A 21,743-nucleotide genomic window follows, 5' to 3' on the forward strand; every position below is an offset into this window, starting at 1 on the left:
GAGGTCTTTCACCTTCTTGCTTAGACGTATTTCTAGGTATTTTATGGATTTTTTTGTGGCTTTTCTTAAAGGGATTGCGTTCTTTATTTGGTTTTCAGCTTGAATATTATTGTTGTCTAGAAATGCTACTGATTTTTGTATCCTGAAACTTTACTGAAGTAATTTATCAGGTTAAGGAGTCTTTAGAGTTTTCTAGGTATAGAATCATATTGTTGGTAAAGAGAGATAATTTGACTTTCTCTTTTCCCATTTAATGCCTTTTATTTATTTCTGTTACCTAATCACTTCAGCTATGACTTATAGTAGTACTATGTTGAATAGGAGTGGTGAGAGTAGACATCTTTGTCTTGTTCCAGTTCTTGAGGAGGAATACTTCCAGCTTCTGCCCATTCAGTATGATGTTGGCTATGAGTTTGTTGTAGATGACTCTTACTATTTTGAGTCTACTTTTATTTTTGATGCTACTGATTACTAAGTTAAAACTTTCTTGGTGAGGAAATTGGAGGACCTGGAATCAGACTTCCTGGTGGTAGAATCTATCTTCCATGATTTCCTAACTCTGTAATCTTAGACAAATTATTTATTCTATCTGTACCTCACTTTTCTTTCTGTAAAATTGGAATAATAATATTACCAATCTTATAGAGTAACTATGAGAATCAGAGCCCTTTAAATAGTGTTTGGCACATATCAAATATTCAGTAGAGGATTACTGTAGTTTCTATCATTAGTATCATTATTGATACTGCTGTTAATGTGAGAGTCTATAGAACTGATTCATTTTTCGTATTTTGGTACAGTACCTGTTATCCAGAAAACAGAATAAATGAGTAATTCACTAAATAATGAGTAAATTAAATATAATAATTGTGAACTTATTCTTTAAAGGCTTTTAGAACAATACTAGGCTCAATGTTGATAAGCTCAGTTGCTACATTGCTACACCAATGCAAAACCAAAAGTGATGGTAGTATTATCATTTTAATTGGTTTTTGCTCATTTTAATTGTATACATCAGGAAATATGGTTTTATAAATCAGTACACCTATTCTTGAGCCTTTGCCATTTCTTAATTTTGCAAATTAGTTTTCCATTTTAGGTTCAAAAATATAGAGTTCACTGTGTCATGGGACTTAGAAGGAATTTGTTTTCTTCCTGCAATTTCCATTGAGTTAACAAACAGATCTTGGATTCACTTCTGCAGTTCTCTAGAGTTCCTGCAAGTGTCTCCTTTCCTATTAACTTGTTCGTCCTCAGAGGGGTCATCTTTGAGTCACAGCTTTTGGCATCTGAATTCTAGATTCTGCTTTTTCTAAATGGAAGTAGTTGATGAGACTCGGAGACCTTTGTACAAAGCCTCTCATTTCTTGGACTTGGAGCCTCCATATTTCAGTAAAGTGCTTTTACAAAACTGGAAGTATCACTTTTCTTTTTAGCATCTGTATGAGGCATTCCTTTTACCACTCAAAGACTCTGTTTATAGCTTTCATTTGATGGTTTATTGTAATTTTAACTTACGTTGATCAGTAGTTTTCTTGATACAGACCACATCACAATTGTAAATACAAAGCAACCACACATTTCAGCCTTATATAGTTTCACCTACTTAAGAGAATCAATGATAATGTGATGTTTCTTGACTTTTCTTTCCACATCACTGTTTACTTGTGGATTGAAGTTTCCATGTGCATGTTTTAATTTTTGCCAAGAAAAATCAATCAAGTGCACTGTAGCTCTGCTTTAGATTTTATGCCTCATATGACATAGAGTATATAAATAGTATAAACATGTTAAATGGAGAAAAATCTTGTGGGGGGATATCTTAGTTTAGTACCTGGATTTTTATTGATTATGTGTACTTTATTGTTTTAGCTCAAATGCAGTTTTGTTTTTCATTTGTTATTTTCAGATTTAAAGTTTTCCTGGTGAATTTGTTTTCTCAAATTCTTTTATCACCTTTTTTAAAAAAAAATGTTGCTATAGCACTCTGCTAGTTTTAACATTTACTATTTTCTCAAGACAGAGCAGATGAGTTTGTTAGGGAAAGTGGATAGAAAAGAGTGACCTCATAATACCTTCCTGAAAACAAGATGCTTTCATTTCAGAATCATTAATGGAAGAAGCTATTAAATGAAGATTGTACAGTTGTTGTTTTTAAATAGGTTTTTAAAGAGAAGTTTTAGGTTCTCAGTAAAATTGAGAGAAAGGTATAGATAACGTAGTTTTGGGGGGAAATAAAATTGCCAGTGGGATATATTTTAAAGGAAACCTGATATTATATTGCCTCTAAATTATACTTTAAAATTTAGTGCTATGAAAATTAATTTAAAAATATTTTAAACCTAAATAAACTCTATGTAGATATTTTATATTTTTGTGTATTTCATTTTGGATATAACACATTTCTTTTCTCTGTAAGTTTTGCCTTTAAATAAATGCCAGATGATGTAGTTATCCCTTGAAACTAATCCAGAATTTCTTCTTTGCTTTTTACTGCTTGTGGAAATATTTTTTCTTTTCTATGTATTTTTTACATGGGCAAATCATAAACTCCAGATTTCAAAATAGTTTTATTTTTAAATGGTTAATGAGACATGCCTCTAGAGGGCAATATTTTCTCATTGTAATCAAGGCAACCCTGGCATGAACCTGAGGTACTAGGGATGTTAATGTCTTATCAGATCTTAAATAGCCTTTCTTCCTTTTTATTATGTTTTCTGTGATTTATTCTTCAACGTCTTCTTAGAGAATTCAACTTTGGAAATATATTACTATCAATTAATATCCTTTCTGAGTACTACATGCAGATCCAGTTCCTCTGAGTGAATACCATTGAATGAATAGAGGCAAATTTTTTAGTTATATCATTTGAGTATGTGGGGTCATTATGCTAAATGTTTTTTTATTCTCTATGTGTTGCTATTCAGGGACTTGTTATCTGTATACTTTATAATATCAGAGTGATTAAACTTCATTTTTGAGGCATTGAGGCATTATAAGGGCTAATAGTTATCTACTCTTTTCTATTAACATTGATTGGACACTTACTGTTGTTGTTTACCCTTTAAATATAATTTTTATTTTTTATCAAAGAAATACATGCATTTATTATAAAAGTCAAAAATATAATTTTATAGTGAAAGGAGGCACTTTTTGGCCTATCCTCCCCACTCTCGGGTGTCATTCCCCAGAGGCCTCTTCTTTTAACTCTTCTGTTTTTTTCTCAGTTGGTTTTTTTTGGGCCCTTTCCTGGAAATCCTATTACTTGAATAATGTATCTTCTACATTGAGCCCCTAATCTTCTTGTCTATTTTCTATCTTTTTTTTAACTTTATGAGAATTTCCCCAACGTATGTTTCAGTCTTCTTGTTGCATTTTTATTTCTGCAATCTTTTTAATATGATTTTCTTTGAATTTTTTTTATTATCACACCCTTTTCTTATTTTATGTGTAATATTTTTCTCTCTTTAAGAGATCGTTATAAATTTTGAAGCTTTTTTGTGCTCCTTTTATTATGCCCTCCCCTCCCCTCCCCTCCCCTCCCCTCCCCTTCCCTTCCCTTCTTTTTCTTTCCTTTTTTTTCTTTCCTTTCTTGTCTCCCTTTCTTTGCCTTTTTAAATCGAGACAAGGTTTTGCCATTTTGCACAATCTGGTCTCGATCTCCTGGTCTCAAGCAATCTGCCTGCCTCAGCCTCCCAAAATGCTGGGGATTACAGGTGTGAGCCACCAAGCCCATCTGGAGCAGTGATTTTCAACCCTTGACTGTCCATTATACTTAAGCTAGATAGATTTGAAAAATACTGAGGCCTAGACTCCATCAGACTGATTGAACCAAAACACTGACCTCAGTGATGGGGAATCCTTGATGGATCATTGGCTGATTATTTTTATTTTTACATTCTATTATTTAATAATTCATTTTTATTTTATTCATTTTTATTCAGCTAATCAACAAATCAATACTAAGGAACTGATTGGAAGCTTTTTGAATGTGGGAAGGGCATACCGCCTTATAGGTATCAGTGGTCTATCAGGTAGGAATGCCATTTTATTATCATACCTCAAATAGTCACTATCCGTAGGTCTTTTCATGTACGCTGGTCAGTTTTCCCACAAAGAAATTCTTCTATCCTCTGTTCAGGGTGGGGTTGGGGTAATAAAGAGTTTCTGGCAATAAACTTAGAAGTTAGTTTTCAAGGAGTTGAAGGAGTTAACATTATTTTTGTCTAGTGATTAGAATAACAAAAAGAGGATTTGGAGAACCTGTTTGCATTTGATTATTGTCTTACTTCCCTAGTTAGGAGGACAGTTAAGTAAGAAATTCTGGTCTGGTTCCACTGAAATAAAAATATTTCTATGGAAATCTGGAGATGGAATTTTTAGTTGCTGAAGTGAATGAATGTAAAAACTACTTATTCAGATAAAGAAGTGCAAATGGGTAGAACAACAAATTTTGGGAAAAGAAGTGAATGTTCATTTCCTTATGTACTTATCAAAAGGAAGATCTGAAATGTTTTTTTTTTTTAATTTGGAGAAAAATTGGAGAGGGAGAAGAGAGTGAGTAGGCTTCTTAGGATTTGTAGTAGCCAGAGTTTGAATGATTGACCCATATGAACAGATTTAGAAATTATCAGACTTGAGAATAACAGACATGAATAGTCTTGAGGTTGAAATCTGAGCAGGAACTAGAAATCTGCTAGTTGATAGTTGTAAACTACAAAAGGACAACAAGACAGGGATCAGGGCTATACCAGGATTATGCACAGAAGTAGAAATTTTGATGGTTCTTACCATGATGAGGTAAATGATATTTTGAATTTGGAGGAGGATGAGAAAAGGAAAAGGATTTAAGGTTCATTGAAAGAGTTATTAACATTGGATGATGTGTTTTTGCAGGTGAGAATATTGAAGCTAGAATGAGGCACAAGAGGGAAATTACTATTTCAGAATGGACCAAGGTGGAATTAACATGGGCACTGTTGTTGTTGGCTTCAGAAGAAATAGAGCATTCCATTTTCTGTGTTAAGAGCCATCTCTAGTAAGGAATGCTTAATTAATGTTCAATAATATTTCACTCTGGTCTAGTTTTGGAGCAGATTGAAATGTGTCTATATTTGATAAAACCATAGATGAGGGAAAAAATACCATGACAGTACTCATAAATGAATATAGTTTTCCGGCAGTGCTCCAGCTGATTAGGAAAGTGTTTCGGCTTGACAGGGAATTACAGGGAAAGAAGAGTCATTATTTCTCAACTGGGGATGGTCGTGGTATCACTCCTCTTTGTGGTTCTTACTGTCAAGGATCTTTTGTAAAAGTAGGTTTTACGTACGTAGGTAAAGTCATAGGCATACTTTTGGAAAAGTAAATTTAGAAGAGAAGGGCTTGAACTATTAGTATTCGTGTGGTGTGCTTAGTTTGATTTTTTTCTTTTTCTTTTTTTTTGGTAAACTGTTCCACAAATTGTTGATAATTTAGGCAGCTAAATGGAGTATTGGTTTCCTGTTTTCATCTTGAGGAAAATATGTAAGCATATTTTGATAGATATTTAAATGTTTTAAAACTGGAAATAAAGTATATGTGAATAGAAAAGGTTTTATCTGCCCTGTTGTCAAAAATGCTGATTTGGCCCTTTCGTACTGTACTCCCATCTTTGTATGGTTGTTACAATCTGTTGCTCTTTCCCATCTGAAGGAAATGCATCTTTGACACTTCTCATGACCTGCGTCATGATGCTGAAATAGAGCCAGAAAATATCCTTAACAGTCATGGGTAAAAAGAAGGAAGGCGTCCGTGGGTTGGGGCGGGAGAATAGGGGACTGTGAGGAGAAGAGAGTCTTTGCTCTTTCAGTTTACATCATTTTGATTTTTAGGAAAGTTACTTACATTTTGTGGCTATACTTTTTTTTTTTTTAGGAAAAAATTTCTTTTTTTTCTTTTTTTTTTCTTTTATTATTATACTTTAAGTTTTAGGGTACATGTGCACATTGTGCAGGTTAGTTACATATGTATACATGTGCCATGCTGGTGGGCTGCACCCACTAACTTGTCATCTAGCATTAGGTATATCTCCCAGTGCTATCCCTCCCCCTTCCCCCCACTCCACCACAGTCCCCAGAGTGTGATGTTCCCTTTCCTGTGTCCATGTGATCTCATTGTTCAATTCCCACCTATGAGTGAGAATATGCGGTGTTTGGTTTTTTGTTCTTGCGATAGTTTACTGAGAATGATGATTTCCAATTTCATCCATGTCCCTACAAAGGACATGAACTCATCATTTTTCATGGCTGCATAGTATTCCATGGTGTATATGTGTTGTGGCTATACTTTTTATTCAAGAGAAAATGCTTCGATTTTATATTAAATTGTTCCTTAAGTATACATTCTTTAATGTATAGGTATACAAAGTACATAAAGATAAGTTCTGCAAATGTAAAATTAAATAGTTTTGAGTTCTCCAGATCTAAGAAAATACACTTTAAATCTTGCAGTTAATTCTATATTTCATCTTCCTACAAAGTGTTTATCTCAGAACCAACTTCTGATACTTCTACATCTTGTATGTTTAGCAGTTTAAGTAATAAAGTCACATTTGTTGAAACAAGAAGATAGGATTCTATATTTTTTCCATCTACAGTAAAGCATTTCTATTTACTCTGTTGATATACAAAATTCATTGTGAGGTAAAGATGGGAGAGTTGAGTATAGGGTATTTTCAAGAAATAATTTAATGAGGACTTATACTTTGGGGAGCACATTTCACCTCAGACTTGTTCTAAGGGATGTTAGATTATGGAGCCTTAATTCAGGGATTTTTCATTAGGCTAAAACTCCACTTTTGAGCACTTAGTGTCAGTACTATATTTGAACTTGATTCAGAGGAGTGGGAAATTTTGAGGGTGCTTTAATATGATACATTTAGAAATAGGTTGAGGCTTAAGGTCAAAGATCTTTTTAAAAAATTTTTATTTATACGTATGAAGAATTTACTTTCTTCCCTCTTGTGTTAAATATAGTCTTTTTACTGTTATATTTGATTTTTCATTGTTGAAGGAGTGTCAAACTACAATCCTAATACGTAAAATGAATTAAAAATTGCTAAACCTTCTTAAATTTTAAGAGCACCAACTCTTAATAAACTTTCTTCATTCCAAAATCTTGGAGTGCTCTAAGAATAATAAGTAATGAACTTACCACTTTGAGGGAGGAGATTTTGTTCATTTAACTTACAAGTTTGGGTTGACTCTGTGATTGAAACTTAATTGCATGAAACTTTTCAGACAGATTTTTTATATTTCAGTAGAATTCCTCACAGCTAGTTCTATTATTTTTCCCTTTGTGTTCTTGCATTTTATAAACATTGTTTCTAACTGTTGATTTCATCTCCTTTTCTAGGGAATTTTTGCCTCCTAAGTTTTCAATATTCCTTGTTCTAGGCCCACCTTGTTACCTTTTGGAGTTGTGTCAACTATACTTGCTGTACTTAGAATTTTAGCAACAGGAATTATTTCTTTATGACTTTTAATTTTTAGGCATCAAATTTCTAAATTTATTGGGTTTATTTTAGCTTTAAGAAAAGAAAAATACTTAAATTTGTATGTTGTAGTAGCCAACACATTCAGATAATAATTAACAGATGATAATGGATTCACAATAGAAAAGGAAAACTACCTAGCAAATTATTTATTGGAGTATTCGTACATAAATATATACAGTTTCAATTCTCCTGAAAGTACACTTTTAATTCTAGTGACATTTAATAAGCCCTAGGCAAAGCTCCATGCAGGCTACTTTGTATGTAGTGGGGAGAAGTGATGACACTATCATTAATAATCTCAATCCCCATCCTGTTTAAAAAAAAAAAAGAAAGATTGGATTCTTGTTTTCAAGTCCATTTTGTGGGAGATTTCTCTAATCTTCCTACCTTCTCACCCTTTCTCAAAGTACCTACAGTAATGTCTATGGTGACGTGAACTTTTTACTCAAAGAAAGCAACAAGTGTTTTTGCTTGAAATGCATCAAAAATTGCAGTGTTTTTACTTCACCATCGATTGCCTCCAAAAAAAAGTTATAGGCAAAATGAATCAGTGCCCACACAGGATTGTCCTTCAGTATTTTCTGTCTTTATTTGTCACCCAAACTGTTTGTTGTGTTTATAGTCTTTAAAAATGTGTGTCTGTGTGTCGACACACACACACACACACACACATAAAATTCATTTTCTTTTAGTGTGTGTTCTACTCTCCTTGGCTCCTGTGAACAAGCATTGCTTCCGCCCAGTTTGGTATGTGGGTCAGAAGGCACTGTTTCTCACCAGGGTGCTGCTGTTTCCTTTTCCGACTTGAGTAGATTGCAGATTATACTGGAACATGCCTGAGAAAAGGTCATAAAGGAGGGTGAAAGTCCTGGAACTGCAGCTGGGAAGCTTGACATTCTCATCTAGGAAAGGGGAGAAGAGAGAGATGGAGAGAGAGACACACACTCCCATCCCAACCAAAAATAACCCACCTGCAGGAAATTCCCTTCTACACAGGGTATTTTTTGTTAAATAACTATTGAGAGTTTGGTTGAAAAAACTTTAATGTTAAATTGGATGGCAAGCAAGAACTAAGCAGTGTTTTTAACTTTTCAGAGCCCACATTTCCAGTGACTATTTCAAAACAAGCTACCATTGTATTCTTTGACAGAGTCAAGAAGTCAGAGCTTTTCAACTACAGAATTAACTTAGTTAAACTCCTTGGTATATTTTAGATTTTTATCCCTGTCAATTCCACAGCAAGATATTAAAAACAGTCCAAAAGCTTTGCTCTTCTGTAGAAGACAAAAGTTTACCAAAAAATAAAAAATAAAAAAATAAAAAAAAAGGCCCCGTAGAACTCATCATCTAGTTTTTATTTTTGAAAGATATGATATAGGGAATAGAACATCTACATGATGTCTTAGAATAGGTAAAGTGTTGCAAAGAGGGCAAAAATAAAGGAGATATTTGGGACTGGGGCTGTTTCCGTAGAATTGTCTTCTGAGGAGTGCCAGAGAGTCACATTGACCTCGGGCTTCAGTGTGGCTCAGTAATCCGATTTCAAAATGCAAGAGTTCCAAATAGGAGACCAAAGACACTAGGTGAGGAGCTTATATCCTAGAACAATAGTGGGTGTTGTAGATAAGTGTATGGAGAGGTGATGAGAACAGAATTTAATACAGTCGTAGGAGTCTAGAGTACTGAGTTATAGGAAGGTGTCTATTGTAAACCTTCAGAAAAGTGGAGTGCCTAAAGTGGATAAGGTCTGTGTCTGTGGTAAGAATAAGTGGGATGATATGTGGACCTCCTAATAACACTGCTCTTTCACAGGGCACCATTGCTTAGTGTCCTTTAGCTCTTTTTGCAAATGAAGCTTTGCCGTTTCTATACTTATCTCTAATACTCTAATACTATACTTACCTCATATGTCTAATGACAACAGAAGGACAGTGCTCTTTTTATCCTCCAAATGTTTCACTTGACCCACTTTATTCCATTGTAGGTCTTAGTTTCTCATACCTTCTGTTCCTAAAGAATCTTTCTTTGTCCTCCATTAACAATAACTTTTAGAAACCTGTAACAAAAATTTCTCTCTCTCTCTGGTATGACACTCCTTTAAGGTACTTTCTGATCTACAACTATTGTCATTTGATTCCTTAATGTTATTTTAACTGATTTTATGTCCTTTGGTTCACAATATGGTAAGATATGGAAATTTTTTAAAGGTAGAAAGGATGCAAATACATTCATTTTTTATTTTCCCTCTTCTTGTTTGTATCTCGGAAGAAAGACAACTATACATATGTACACACAGATACACTGATAGTAACTTTAATATTTAACATAATCTGAAATGTTCAACAATTTCAGTTTTGCTAGCTTCAGAGAGTTCTTGCAGTTGGCAGTTTGCCACATTCACATGTTCTCACATCACTGCATTCAGAAGCTAAGAATACCAACCTGGCAGCTTCTGCACAGAGGGTAAAGATAAAACAGAAGGGAGTCTAACTTTGCAGCCACATTACCTGGGAGTTGCTGCTGATGTCTTTTCCACAAATGTCCAAGTTTGTCAAAGCCCAGTAAATCTTAGAAAGTTTATTTTCCTTGTAGCATCTGTGTTTTATAATGGGTCTTTTAATTTGTTTTTACTTTGTCTGCAGGGATTTCTTTTGTCCGGAGTTTTCAGACTCTGTCTTTTTTTTTTTTTTTTTTTTCCTGTGGAAGTGAGTCTGTTAATGATGACTGGTTTGGGAATATGCCTCTCTGCAAAGCTGACCTGACAAGCTATTCCTCCAGCGTGGCAACAAAGCCCATTGTTATTTTCTCTGTTCACTTTTATCCTCAACTTAATCCATTTTTCTTCTGTGTTTTTATAGTATAGAATGTCTGGGAAAACATAATTTAGGACAAAGCATAAGTAAGATGGTATTTTGAAGTTAGCAAAACTTTTAGTAAACAGATCACACCATGTCATTCTCATATATGCAGACAGTGGAACTATGTGTTAGTATGGAGATTGAGAGTTTGTGTCCCCCAAAGTACACGTACCTGTAGATATCCTTTATCCAAAAGGTAACAGGAAAAAAAGAGCACAAGAAGTTGTTTTCATAATTCCTTTTTTTTTTTAAATTGCAAACTTTTAGAAGATAAACATAGAAAGTCAGTGGTTGAACCCGAAAGTGAATGGTTCTGGTGTAATGGCTTTGTATTGTAATATTAAAAACAATAATAGCAGTAAACAAAAAACTGAAAGCAGAACAAAAACAAGACATCATAGCTTTAAACATCAAGGGATGTTTTAAAAATTCTGATTTTTAAATAATTTTGTATCCCCAAATAGAATTCCTGCTTTAACTTATTGAGAAACCATTTTATTGGAACTCGGGATTTCTTTCCCCCAAGAGAACTCCATCTATCGTGGGGACTGGTAAACCTCTAAAGGATCAAAGCTCTAGTGGATTTGGATAAAGACCCAAAAGCCTGAGGCTTATGCAAGTTTATCTATATAGAGTAAGCCCAAAAAACTGGGATGAGAGTCTTAGATGAGCTTATTTTCTCATGAGATTTTTGGGACTTCCTCTGTCTGCTTGTGCCAGAAATACTGTGAGAATATTCATTCTCATGGCATTTGTCACTTACAGGTCTCCTCTTAGCTGGAATTTGAAAGTATAATAGTGTGTGAAATATTTTATGTATCTCAAGACTTCATGCAGTCCACTACCAAAACTGCACTTAAATAACCTCTGTTCTTTTTCATTGTACTCATGCAATAAAGGAAAAAATAGAAGAGTATAGTAAAGAAAGGTTAGTGAAGGTGATACCTTGTAACTCTCTTCATAGATCTCAGAAATATTATTTGTATCTTATGTATTTCTGAGAGGTGAAGCAAAGAAAAAGAATAGCAATAGACTTCATCTAGGTCCAAGGCAGACACTGCAGGTTTCTTCCTGCTGAACTTCCTTATACGAAGAGGCTTGAGGTTTAATGAAGAATTCTGGCTTGAAAATTTAGGCTTGATATAACCACATGGAAATGTCTAAAGATCTATTTTTAAAGTTATCAAGTCTAACCTTCTAGGCCAGTGAACGTGAGACTAAGCAGAATAGTGAAAGCCGCAGACTCCAGTCATCTGGCAACCTTCTGAAGTACTGAGTCCCCTCCAGAATTATTTTTTCTATAGATCATAGGGCCGTATTTTTCTCTACCTCCTGGACATGGAAATAAATATATTTCCTTCATTCATTCAGCAAACATTTATTGAGCTGTTAGCTATTAATGACTAGTAAGACACTATCCTCAGGAGTATAGGCAGCCTGGTGGAGTCTCCAGTATTGTGGAGGACAAATCTGGAGGTTTGTTAGATTCTAGCTGAATTTTCAAAGAAAATCCAAGACAGTGTAAATAGTGTAAAATCATTTATAACCAAAGATTTTAACAATAGGTCCTGGAAGAAAGGATTGTTAGGCTGTCTTGTGTAGTTATTGCATTTATTTATTTAATGTGTATTATTTACATGTCTGTGTCAGCTATTGAGATTTCTGGTCTAAGCTAGCTCTTTCATTTTACTAACTTCTGATGTTATTTATACATTTCTCCTGCTTTATTTTCTACTAGAAAAGCAAAATAAAAAGATAGAGATTCCTTCCTTTATGCTCAAAATTTGTATACCTTTTCTCCCTTTTTAAGTTGTCCTTTAAAACAATAATAAAAGTGACTCCTTACTTTTTGTTCCTGAGTCATTTTTCAGATGTATTTATTAGCATGGTTTTCTCCCATTTTTCATTTTTTGTTAATATGTCTTTCTGTAACATTACATTATGAACTCTTTGAAAGTCCCTTGGACTTACTCCTTCAGAATCTAGAACAGGGCCTGATACCAATAAGCCTCCAAAAGTGTGAAGTGACAGAGCAAAGATTGAGTGGAACTTTTGCTTGGCGCAGTATGCATCTTTGTTAATGTCTTCTTTTTCAGTGTCAGTCTTTAAATCTTTGTTCTCTGTTACCTTGATTTTATCCTATCAGCAGTTCCTTTGCTTATGGCTTACAATCTGACTTTTCCACCTCACTGCTGAAACTACCCTACTGAAGACTATTAGAGTTAGCTTTTTCTCTGAGTTTGTCTTCTTAGATCTTGGCCTTATTGAGCATTTTATTAATATACTCATTGTTTCATTAAAACTGTGTTTATAAGTTGCTAGCCATATCCATTAATATGTAAGACAGACACCACCCCTACGAACATAAACATGAATGTAAAACCTACACAACTTACTTTGCTCTCTCAGATGTGCTGGTTTCAAATGGACTCTACAGCATAAACACAGGAGCAGGCTGAGAAGGATAGATCTGAAGTTCTTTGTATGCTATTCTGAGGTTGTCCTTTATCCTGGTGAGACAGTGAAGCATTTTAAGTTGTGCCTAGCTAAACCACAGATTTGGAACTTCTCAGTGAATCACTTCATTTTCCTAGACCACTCCTTTTATCTGTCAAATTCAATGACTTCAACATCTATACTGTTCCCTCGCTGAAGAACTTAACCTAAGTTCCTACTCCTCTGGCTCAATTGAGAGGTCCTCCTAAAACTGAAATATTTTATCTGCCATAGTTAGAGATTCCTCACTACTCCTCACATAATGGCATCCCTTTATACCACTCTCCCCTCACGTTATCCTTCATGCCCAGAATATTCCTTCTCTCCTACCCTTATCCATATTTTGTCCAATTTTCAAAATCTAGATCATATCCCATTTGCCCTTTTCCTTGAGCCCTTTTCCATATAAAGTTGTTCCCACGTCTGCTTATCTTTGGTTCTTGGCAATTAGCACTTAATGATTCCTGTTTGTGCCTGTTAGACTGTAAGCTTCATGATAACAAGGAAAACAGTCCCTTACAGTGTTATCTTAAGCTAAGGCACTCAACAAATATTTGTTTACTAGTTGTGAAATACATATGATGTACACAATTCTTAATTTTCACCAGCTTGTGACAGAAAGTTGCAGTCTGATTTCAAATTCAAGTTAATATTAGCATAGTTGTCTAATAGCGATTTTATAATTATTTACATCTATATTGGCCTTGAGAGTGTGATAATAAATTACTTCGAATGGCTTAACTATGAAGCAGTTTTTCTCATTTCTTCCACAAATATAATATTTTAATGTGATTTCCCTCTTCATATTTTCTACAAGGTTCTGTGTTGTGGCCTAAATCATCTTGTGTGTATTGTGAATTCTGTCTTTTGTTATTCCTGCAACAGGTGTAGATGGCTTCTGTTAACTTTAATGTGTATTCTGAATTGGAAATTGAGGAGATAGAGAACGATTTATTTTATTTGCATGAATTTCTTATCTTTCCCCATATTTTACAAAAGAGACATTTATCAAAGGTTAACTTGATAGTTCTATAGAGTAATATAAAAGGATAGATTTGTGTCCAAGGAAGAAGTAACATTTGGTTAAGCCACTATCCTAATTCTGAAGCCACTGTCATCTTGTTACGATTTTTTAGAAAGGCACTTTTGACTTTTCACTACCTCTCAGGCTACCATTAGATACTGTGTGGTAGTTCTCCCTCTATCCTGAATCCATGCTATTTTTAAAGCAAATGTCTTTTAGGATGTGTTTTAGAAATAAGATATTAATTAGGACTTTCGGGGGGGATGCTTTTGCTGTGTACATAAATTGGTCAACTTAATTCGAATTAGTAAAAAAAATTTATATGTGTGTTTACTGTGGTTATTTAAAAAATACCTTATCTATTGCTAACCACATAAATGGGGTTGATAATTTTTATCGACAGTCAAGAACAGTGATATAAAATTAACATTAAGTCAATAAGAAGTTTTTTGCATGAAAGAGTTGTTGGATTACAGGCACTGGCTTATTCCGTAACACAGAAAATGAGGTAATTTTTATAGTTTCTCTGTAAACCCATCAATTAATAAGACTCACTAGAAAACTACAGTAATTGAGAAAATGTGGTATTGGTGAAAGGCTACACACATAGATCAATGGAACACATGGATCAATGCAGGAATAGAACCACATGTATATGGTCAGTTGGTTTTTGACAAACATGGAAAGGCAATTAAAGGAGAAAGGATAATCTTTTTAGCAAATGGTGATGGAACAATTACACTTCTATATTAAAAAAATGAATACAATGAACCTCAGCTCTCACTACATACACAAAAATGAACTAAAAATAAATCACAGTTTGCTTTTCCCCTGTCAAATCAACATTGCACTGGAAGTTCTAGGTAGGTCAGTGAGGAGGAAAAAAAAAAAGGGCATCTAGACTGGAAAGGCAGAAGTAAAACTATCTGTTTTTTGAGGATGACATAATTATGTATGTAGAAAATCCTTAGGAATCCAGAAGACATTATTAGAACTAAGAAAGGAGCTCAGCAAAGTTGTAGGATACAAGATCAATGTACAAAAGTTACCTGTATTTCTATACATTAACAATGAATAATCTGAAAAATGAAATTAAGAAAACAATTCCATTTTCAAATTGCATGAAAAAGAATGAAATAATTAGTAGTAAGTTAACCAAAGAAGTACAAAACTTGTACCCTGAAAACTACAAAACAACATTGAAAGAAATTTAAGAATACCTAGGTAAATGGAAAGGCATCCTAAGTTCTTGGATTAAAAGGTATATTATTGTTAAAATGGCAGTATTCCACAAATTGATCTCCAGATTAAATGTAATCCCTATCAAAAACTCAGCTGGCTTTTGTTTAGAAATTGACAAGGTATGGGGGAACTAGCAGATTGTGTTGGATGTAAGGACCTAAGCAGGGCAACAAACCACTTTAACTGTCTTTAGAAAGATTAGGAATTCAGCCCTAATTCCCAAAGACTGAAATATGTTAATAATTAAGTCACACTTGGTGTTACCAGAATACTTCTTTTTTGTTTGTTTGTTTAGAGACAGGGTCTCTCTAATGCCACCTGGGCTTGGAGTGCAGGGGTGCTATCATAGCTCACTGTAACCTTGAATTTCTGGACTCAAGTAATCCTCTTGTCTCAGTCTTTAGTAGCTAGGATGACAAGCGTGTACCACAATACTCAGCTAATTTTTGATATTTTTTGTAGAGATGGGGTCTCACTCTGTTGCCCAGGCTGGCCTCAAACTCCTGGCCTCCTGCCTTGGCCTCCCAAGGTGCTGGGATTACAGTCATGAGCTATCCAGCTCTCCAAGAATAGTTTGGTTTCTTCTCATCCACATAATTGTAATTCTCTTGGCATCAATTCTACCTTTGATGCCTTTCTTAAATGATTACTGGAGTCAGTGAAAACCCTATCGGAGATAGAGAACGGGAGATAGAGAACCTTCCTCAGTGATGCTTTTCTTTATTTTTCTCTTTGTAGGGAAACTGAACAGCCAAGACTCCTATAACAATTTTACCAACAACAACCCTGGCAACCCTCGGCTCTCTCCTCTTCCCAGCTTGATGGTAGTGATGCCTCTTGCACAAATCAAGCAGCCAATGACATTGGGGACCATCACCAAACGAACCGGGTAAGGCCTTAGACTTGATGCTTTTTTAACAGCTGTTTTATAGGGTTGAATGAATAAAAATAAAACATACTTTTTCTTTGTGTGGTTTTTATTATGTTCTTCATTTCCAGCTCAAATAAGACTTAATGGCATCAGATTAAGTACAAAGCATAGAACTTGCACAAGCATACTTGCACACAACCATGTATACACACATTCATCGAGAAAAACAAAACAGTGACAAGCTGTGAAAACTAGTATTGGCTAATCAAAAACAGATCCATCTACTTCGTCTTATGCTTACTGCCTTGTGGCTTTGCCTGCAAGTACAGTTTCATTTTCCTGGCTCTTTCGGGATTTGAAATGACTCCCAAATTTTGACAGATACAAATATGGAGAGAACCTTAGATGACAACCATCTTTTTAGTACTTTGAAAAAATCATCTATATTGAGATATAATTTACATATAATAATCTGTCATTAGTGTCAGGACAATGTGATGTCATTGGTAGTTTTCAAAGCCAGTGCACTAAGATTTGGGCTTTATTTAAGATTGGTCATTAACTTCCTTAAAGACTTTTGATTACTCACTTGATTTATTTGTGCTTATTTTAGCAATTTGCTACCCCTTAGGAATATAAGATTATCACTTCAATAGGTTCCTGAAAATAAACTGCTAGGTCTATGATATCATTAGATATTCAATTGTATATTAACACTGGAAATCCATTTTATATCAGAAAATATATGTCTATAGGCAAATTATTTGTTTTCCATAATGAGCAATCCTGAAGTTTAATCTAATTTGAAATGAAACAACTTTTTTACATTTCTGTATTAAAGTAGTCAAGAGAAAACCCTGTCTGGCCTCAAACAGTCCTCAAGTTCTTTCCAATGAAAGGAATATATTATTTGGCTGCTACGTCAATATATCTTAATTTTGTTGTGCTCAGTATTAATGTGCTTACAGAGGTCACTTTTGTGAGAAGAAATACTCAGTAGTCTCAGGGACAAGGCCTTTGAGCTCCAGGTATCACCACAACATAGAAATTGACTCTGTAGCTAGGTGGAGTGGTGTTTGTATATAAAAAGATCCTGTTGCTGCATGCAGACATAAAATTGAGTCTGTGGCATTTGCTGTGTTTTTCAGCAAAACTTCATCCCAAATCAGACATCTTAAGGCACCAATAATTTGGTCTGTATATCTTTTTAATTTTTTTCAGCTTTTTAACTCCTTGGGCCCAGGAAAAGTATAATTTTAAATTGGATTTCAACTTTCTCTTCCTCTGTTAGTTTATTTTAAAATAATTTAAGAATAATGGCTGTGAATAATGAAGAGGTTATGTCCTTTATATTCACAATTAGGTTATTTTTTCATTGTATATTACATTCCTGGGATGTAGAATCAAAAATGGGACTAAATCTGGAATCATAACTTTAAAGTTTCTTTTTTACTTACTGAAGTTAGTCAGTACATAATTGTATCATCTTGATTCACTCCAGCATTGTACAATTCTCCAAAGTACTTACAAATTTTAGCCTGTCTTTTCTGAATCTAAGTGAAACCATCCTCAAAATTGTTTCTCTGTAATTTAATTTTATATTCAGAGTGAGGGAAATTTAAGAAGGTTCAAAAGGCTCCTGGAGTCATAAAAGCATATTCTGGTGCTTTGTTTCTGGTGCGTGTTTATTTAATTTTAACATAAGAGCTGTCCTGTTTTATAATGCAAAGAATTAGCTCTCTTTTTCTAATGAGCTTCTCCAAATATATCTCTGAAATAGTAACTGAAGTTTAGTGCATAAAATGATATGATGTTAGAATTTAATTCATAATATTTATGGTGAGGGGTAGGAAGTGAGTCTGCTTTTTTATGTAGTATTTGAAATTTTCCATAAGAAGATAAAATCTCTTGCTTTCTTTCTCTCTCTCTCCCTCTTACAACCCGATTTCTCTCTACACTGAGATGAATAGAAACTGTTAGTCATTTGGTGTCCTCCTGTGTTACTACACATTATGAATTTAGATAAAATTCTTATGTTTCCTTTTCTTACAAAAATTTGCTCTCTGTTCTCAGATTTTTGGAGCATGTATTCTGTTGCGTTATGAACAATTTATTAATAAGGGAACTGTTATCAATTTGAGTTGTTTTATGTGCTTTGAAACAAATGTTAGTTAAGATACTTGTATCATATTGTTTACTAGGCTTTGTATCTCAATTTATACCATTTTATTTCTGCCATAGTTTCGAATTCTTTTTTAGCAAGCCTTGTATTGAAGTGTTTAGAGAGAATAATTGATACTTGTCCCACAATGAGTACTAGGTTTTAATTTATTTGTGACATAGTTTCAGACTTACAGAAATGTTTCAAGACTAGCCAAAGGAATTCTTGTCTACCCAAATTCCCCAGTTTTTTTTTTTTTTTTTTTTTTTTTTTTTGAGACGTAGTCTTGCTCTGTCTCCCAGGCTGGAGTGCAATGGTGCGATCTCAGCTCACTGCAGCCTCTGCCTCCCTGGTTCAAGTGATTCTCCTGCTTCAGCCTCCCTAGTAGCTGGGATTACAGGTGTGTGCCACCACACCCAGCTAATTTTTGTATTTTTAGTACAGACAGGGTTTCGCCATGTTGGCTAGGCTGGTCTTGAATTCCTGACCTCAAGTGATCCACCTGCCTCGGCCTCCCAAAGTGCTGGGATTACAGGCATGAGCCACCACGCCCGGCCCCAAATGTTAATAGATCAACTTATTTGCTTTATCATTCATATTCTCTCCCTCTGCCTGCATAAACACTAACACGTCATTCACGTTCTCTCCCTCTGCCTGCATATACACTAACATGTTACGTTTTTGCAGCCTTAATATACCCTTATCCCTACATACTTCAATGTGTAATTTCTAAAGGCACAGACATTCTCTTATATAACTGTAGTACAGTTATCAGAAGAAGAGACCTTGAACGTACTTCATTAGTTTTTCTTAATTCCACATAATTGTTGTCTATAATGATTTTTCTACTTGTAGCATAGCTTTAGTGTACTACAAATTACCCAACCTACTGTTCCTTTTTTCCCTCACCATCTACTATTTTTTATCCCTTCCTATTAATATAGAGTACAGTGACTGATAAGACTTTGATGATAGTGGTCAGTCATACTTGACTGTTGCTAGATGACAAGACTCAATATCTTTAAGCCAGAGGTCCCCAACCCCTGGGCCACAGACTGGTGCTAGTCCCTGGCCTGTTAGGAACTGAGCCGCACAGCAGGAGGTGAACAACAGGCGAGTGAGCATCACCGCCTGAGCTCTGCCTCCTGTCAGATCAGCATCGGCATTAGATTCTCGTTAAGAGTGCAAACCCTATTGTTGTGAACTACACATGTGAGGGACCTAGGTTGCACACTCCTTATGAGAATCTAATGCCTCATGATCTGAAGTGAAACTTCCATGAAACCTATTCCTGGTGCCAAAAAGGTTGGGGATCGCTCCTTAAGCCACTCTCTGAAGAGTTTGTTGATTATACCTGGAAACTACTATTGACTTTTCTGATTGTTCTTTTACTATAAGTTATCTAAAACATTTAATCATAAAGTTTTCAGAATATAATATATGGTTTGATTATCTTAAAATTTAACATTTTCACTAAAATACATGTATTTTGCCTTGTCAAAAGTAATATTTGATTCGTGAGAACCAAATATATTCTGTGAATTTTCATTTTTGCTATATTCTGAGTTTTGAAACAAATCTCAGACAATATTTCATCCCATTAGCTTTCATCCTATTAGATTTTAAAGGCTATATTTATTTTATTAAATTTTTTTTACTATGACAAATTCTTAAGACTGGAGTTAGCTAATTTCCATTAATTATTGGCATTAAATTGTATTGTATTTGCTGAGAAATCTGATGGCTCCATTAACGTCACCAGGGTGATGAGCACATGAGAGTTTTCATTTTCCATGTCTCTTTTTATTCTGGAAATTCTCATTTACTCAAGCTTTGCTTTTATAAAATTCCTTTCCTAGTATTTTTAAAATAAAATCAACAAGAAGTATTTGACATGGATTATGTAGAAAGAGAACACAGAGTGACCCACTTATAGACAGGTAAATTATATTCTGTTTTCAATATACCTGATAATGTAGTTGGTAAAATTATGTACTTAGGTTAGATAAGCTTCCACTTCATCTATGTCCGAGGTATTTTGCACATGGTCATAAAATAACCATAAAGTGTTATATTTCTAAAGTAGAGATTTCTAAAGATTTCTAGGATCCAGTAATTAAATACCCAAATTGAGATAGAAGCCTCAACTTAAACCTTAAGGGGACAAAACGTGTGTTTACCATATTCAACATCTGCCTTCTTATGTTTGCAAATACATATGCCTGAAAGCCTGTGCAGTGTCAGGGACCATCTGTCTCACTGCGAGACATACATGAGGCCAGTAGAACTACAAATAGCAGAAGACAGATGTATTTACACCTTCTTGTTCAGTACCTTGAAGCAGCACTTGGAGGTAATAAGGCCTGTTTTGGCAACAGCTGCTGCTTAACTCTGTGACAGTATACATTGATGGAGGTAAAAGAAGTGTTAGACATTATTTGGCTCCAATAATCACCCATTCAAACAGACTCTGTTTTCTTTCAGTTTAAGACTGGAGGTTTAAAAAGTCCAGGTTATCATGTTCTTATCATATGTAAGTAAGAATAGTTCTCCTAATCTATTAAAAGTGGAATTAGGTGCTAAGAGGTTGCACCATATCTTGGATGTTAGGTTTGTAGTAGGGATTTATTAGCAGCATTTCATAGATGTTTGGCATTATCAAGTGAGTGATCAAGTTTTAAAAAATATTTTCTATGTAACAATTCACAAAAAAATGTTCATCAATGAGCTTAATTTTATCTGCTTAAATCTAAAATTATTTATATTTCCAAATTATTTTATGGACACAAGCAGAGAACAGTAAATTTCAAAAAGAAGTCATGGTAGGTAGTTCCGTGGGAATAAAAAATATTAAAATTGAAAATGAAGTTACTTCCTTGCTCTTACTAGGTGGAGCACTTTTTGTGAAGTAAACATGGGATGATTTGCTCTCTCGTAGGTTTCCTTTTCCTTAAATGGAAGTAGCTCCTCATTTCTTTCCCCCTCCCCATCTTTATATTTACTCATTTCATTTCTTCTCTTTTCTTTTGAGACAGAGTCTTGCTCTGTCACCCAGGCTGGAGTGCAGTGGTGTGTGATCTCCACCCACTGCAACCTCTGCTCTTGGGCTCAGGTGATTCTCTTGCCTCAGCCTCCCGAGTAGCTGGGACTACAAGTGGGTGTGTGCCACCATGCCTGTCTAAGTTTTGTATTTTTTGTAGAGATTGGGTTTCTCTATGTTGCCCAAGCTGGTCTTGAACTCCTGGTCTCAAGTGATCCAACTGCCTTAGCCTCCCAAAGTGCTGGGATTATAGGCATGAGCAACCGCACCCGGCCATGTTTATTCATTTCTTTGTGAAGATTTAGGTGGTTATTAGGAAGCTTCAGATGCACCCTGTAGAAGTAGGTTAAGTAATGTAGTGGAAAAAATATGGAATTGGGAGTCTGAGGCCCTGGCTTCTTCTCATCTGGGTTCTGCACCTATTTGCCAGTGTGTCCTAGGTAAATTTCTTCACCTGAAAAAAAAAAGTTTATATATATGGATTATAATCTTTTAATCCTTATCATGTATGAGT

The 21,743-nt window shown here is 34.7% G+C and overlaps 1 protein-coding gene across 8 annotated transcripts in view; it reads left to right on the forward strand.

Moving 5' to 3' along the window:
* Positions 1 to 21,743, forward strand: part of BCAS3 (BCAS3 microtubule associated cell migration factor) — a 714,981-nt gene that overhangs the window by 322,005 nt on the left and 371,233 nt on the right. For 6 of the 8 annotated variants that reach the window (NM_001330413.2, NM_001353146.2, NM_001099432.3 and 3 more), the window contains exon 16: positions 15,896 to 16,046. In NM_001330413.2, the coding sequence (NP_001317342.1) occupies positions 15,896 to 16,046 (151 nt within the window). Of the gene's footprint in view, positions 1 to 3,944; positions 4,035 to 15,895; positions 16,047 to 21,743 lie in introns of all 8 variants that reach the window. The other 2 variants (NM_001353144.2, NM_001353145.2) reach the window with 1 other exon arrangement.

Source organism: Homo sapiens, chromosome 17, assembly GCF_000001405.40.
Source record: "Homo sapiens chromosome 17, GRCh38.p14 Primary Assembly".
In the NCBI taxonomy this organism is placed as follows: domain Eukaryota; kingdom Metazoa; phylum Chordata; class Mammalia; order Primates; family Hominidae; genus Homo; species Homo sapiens.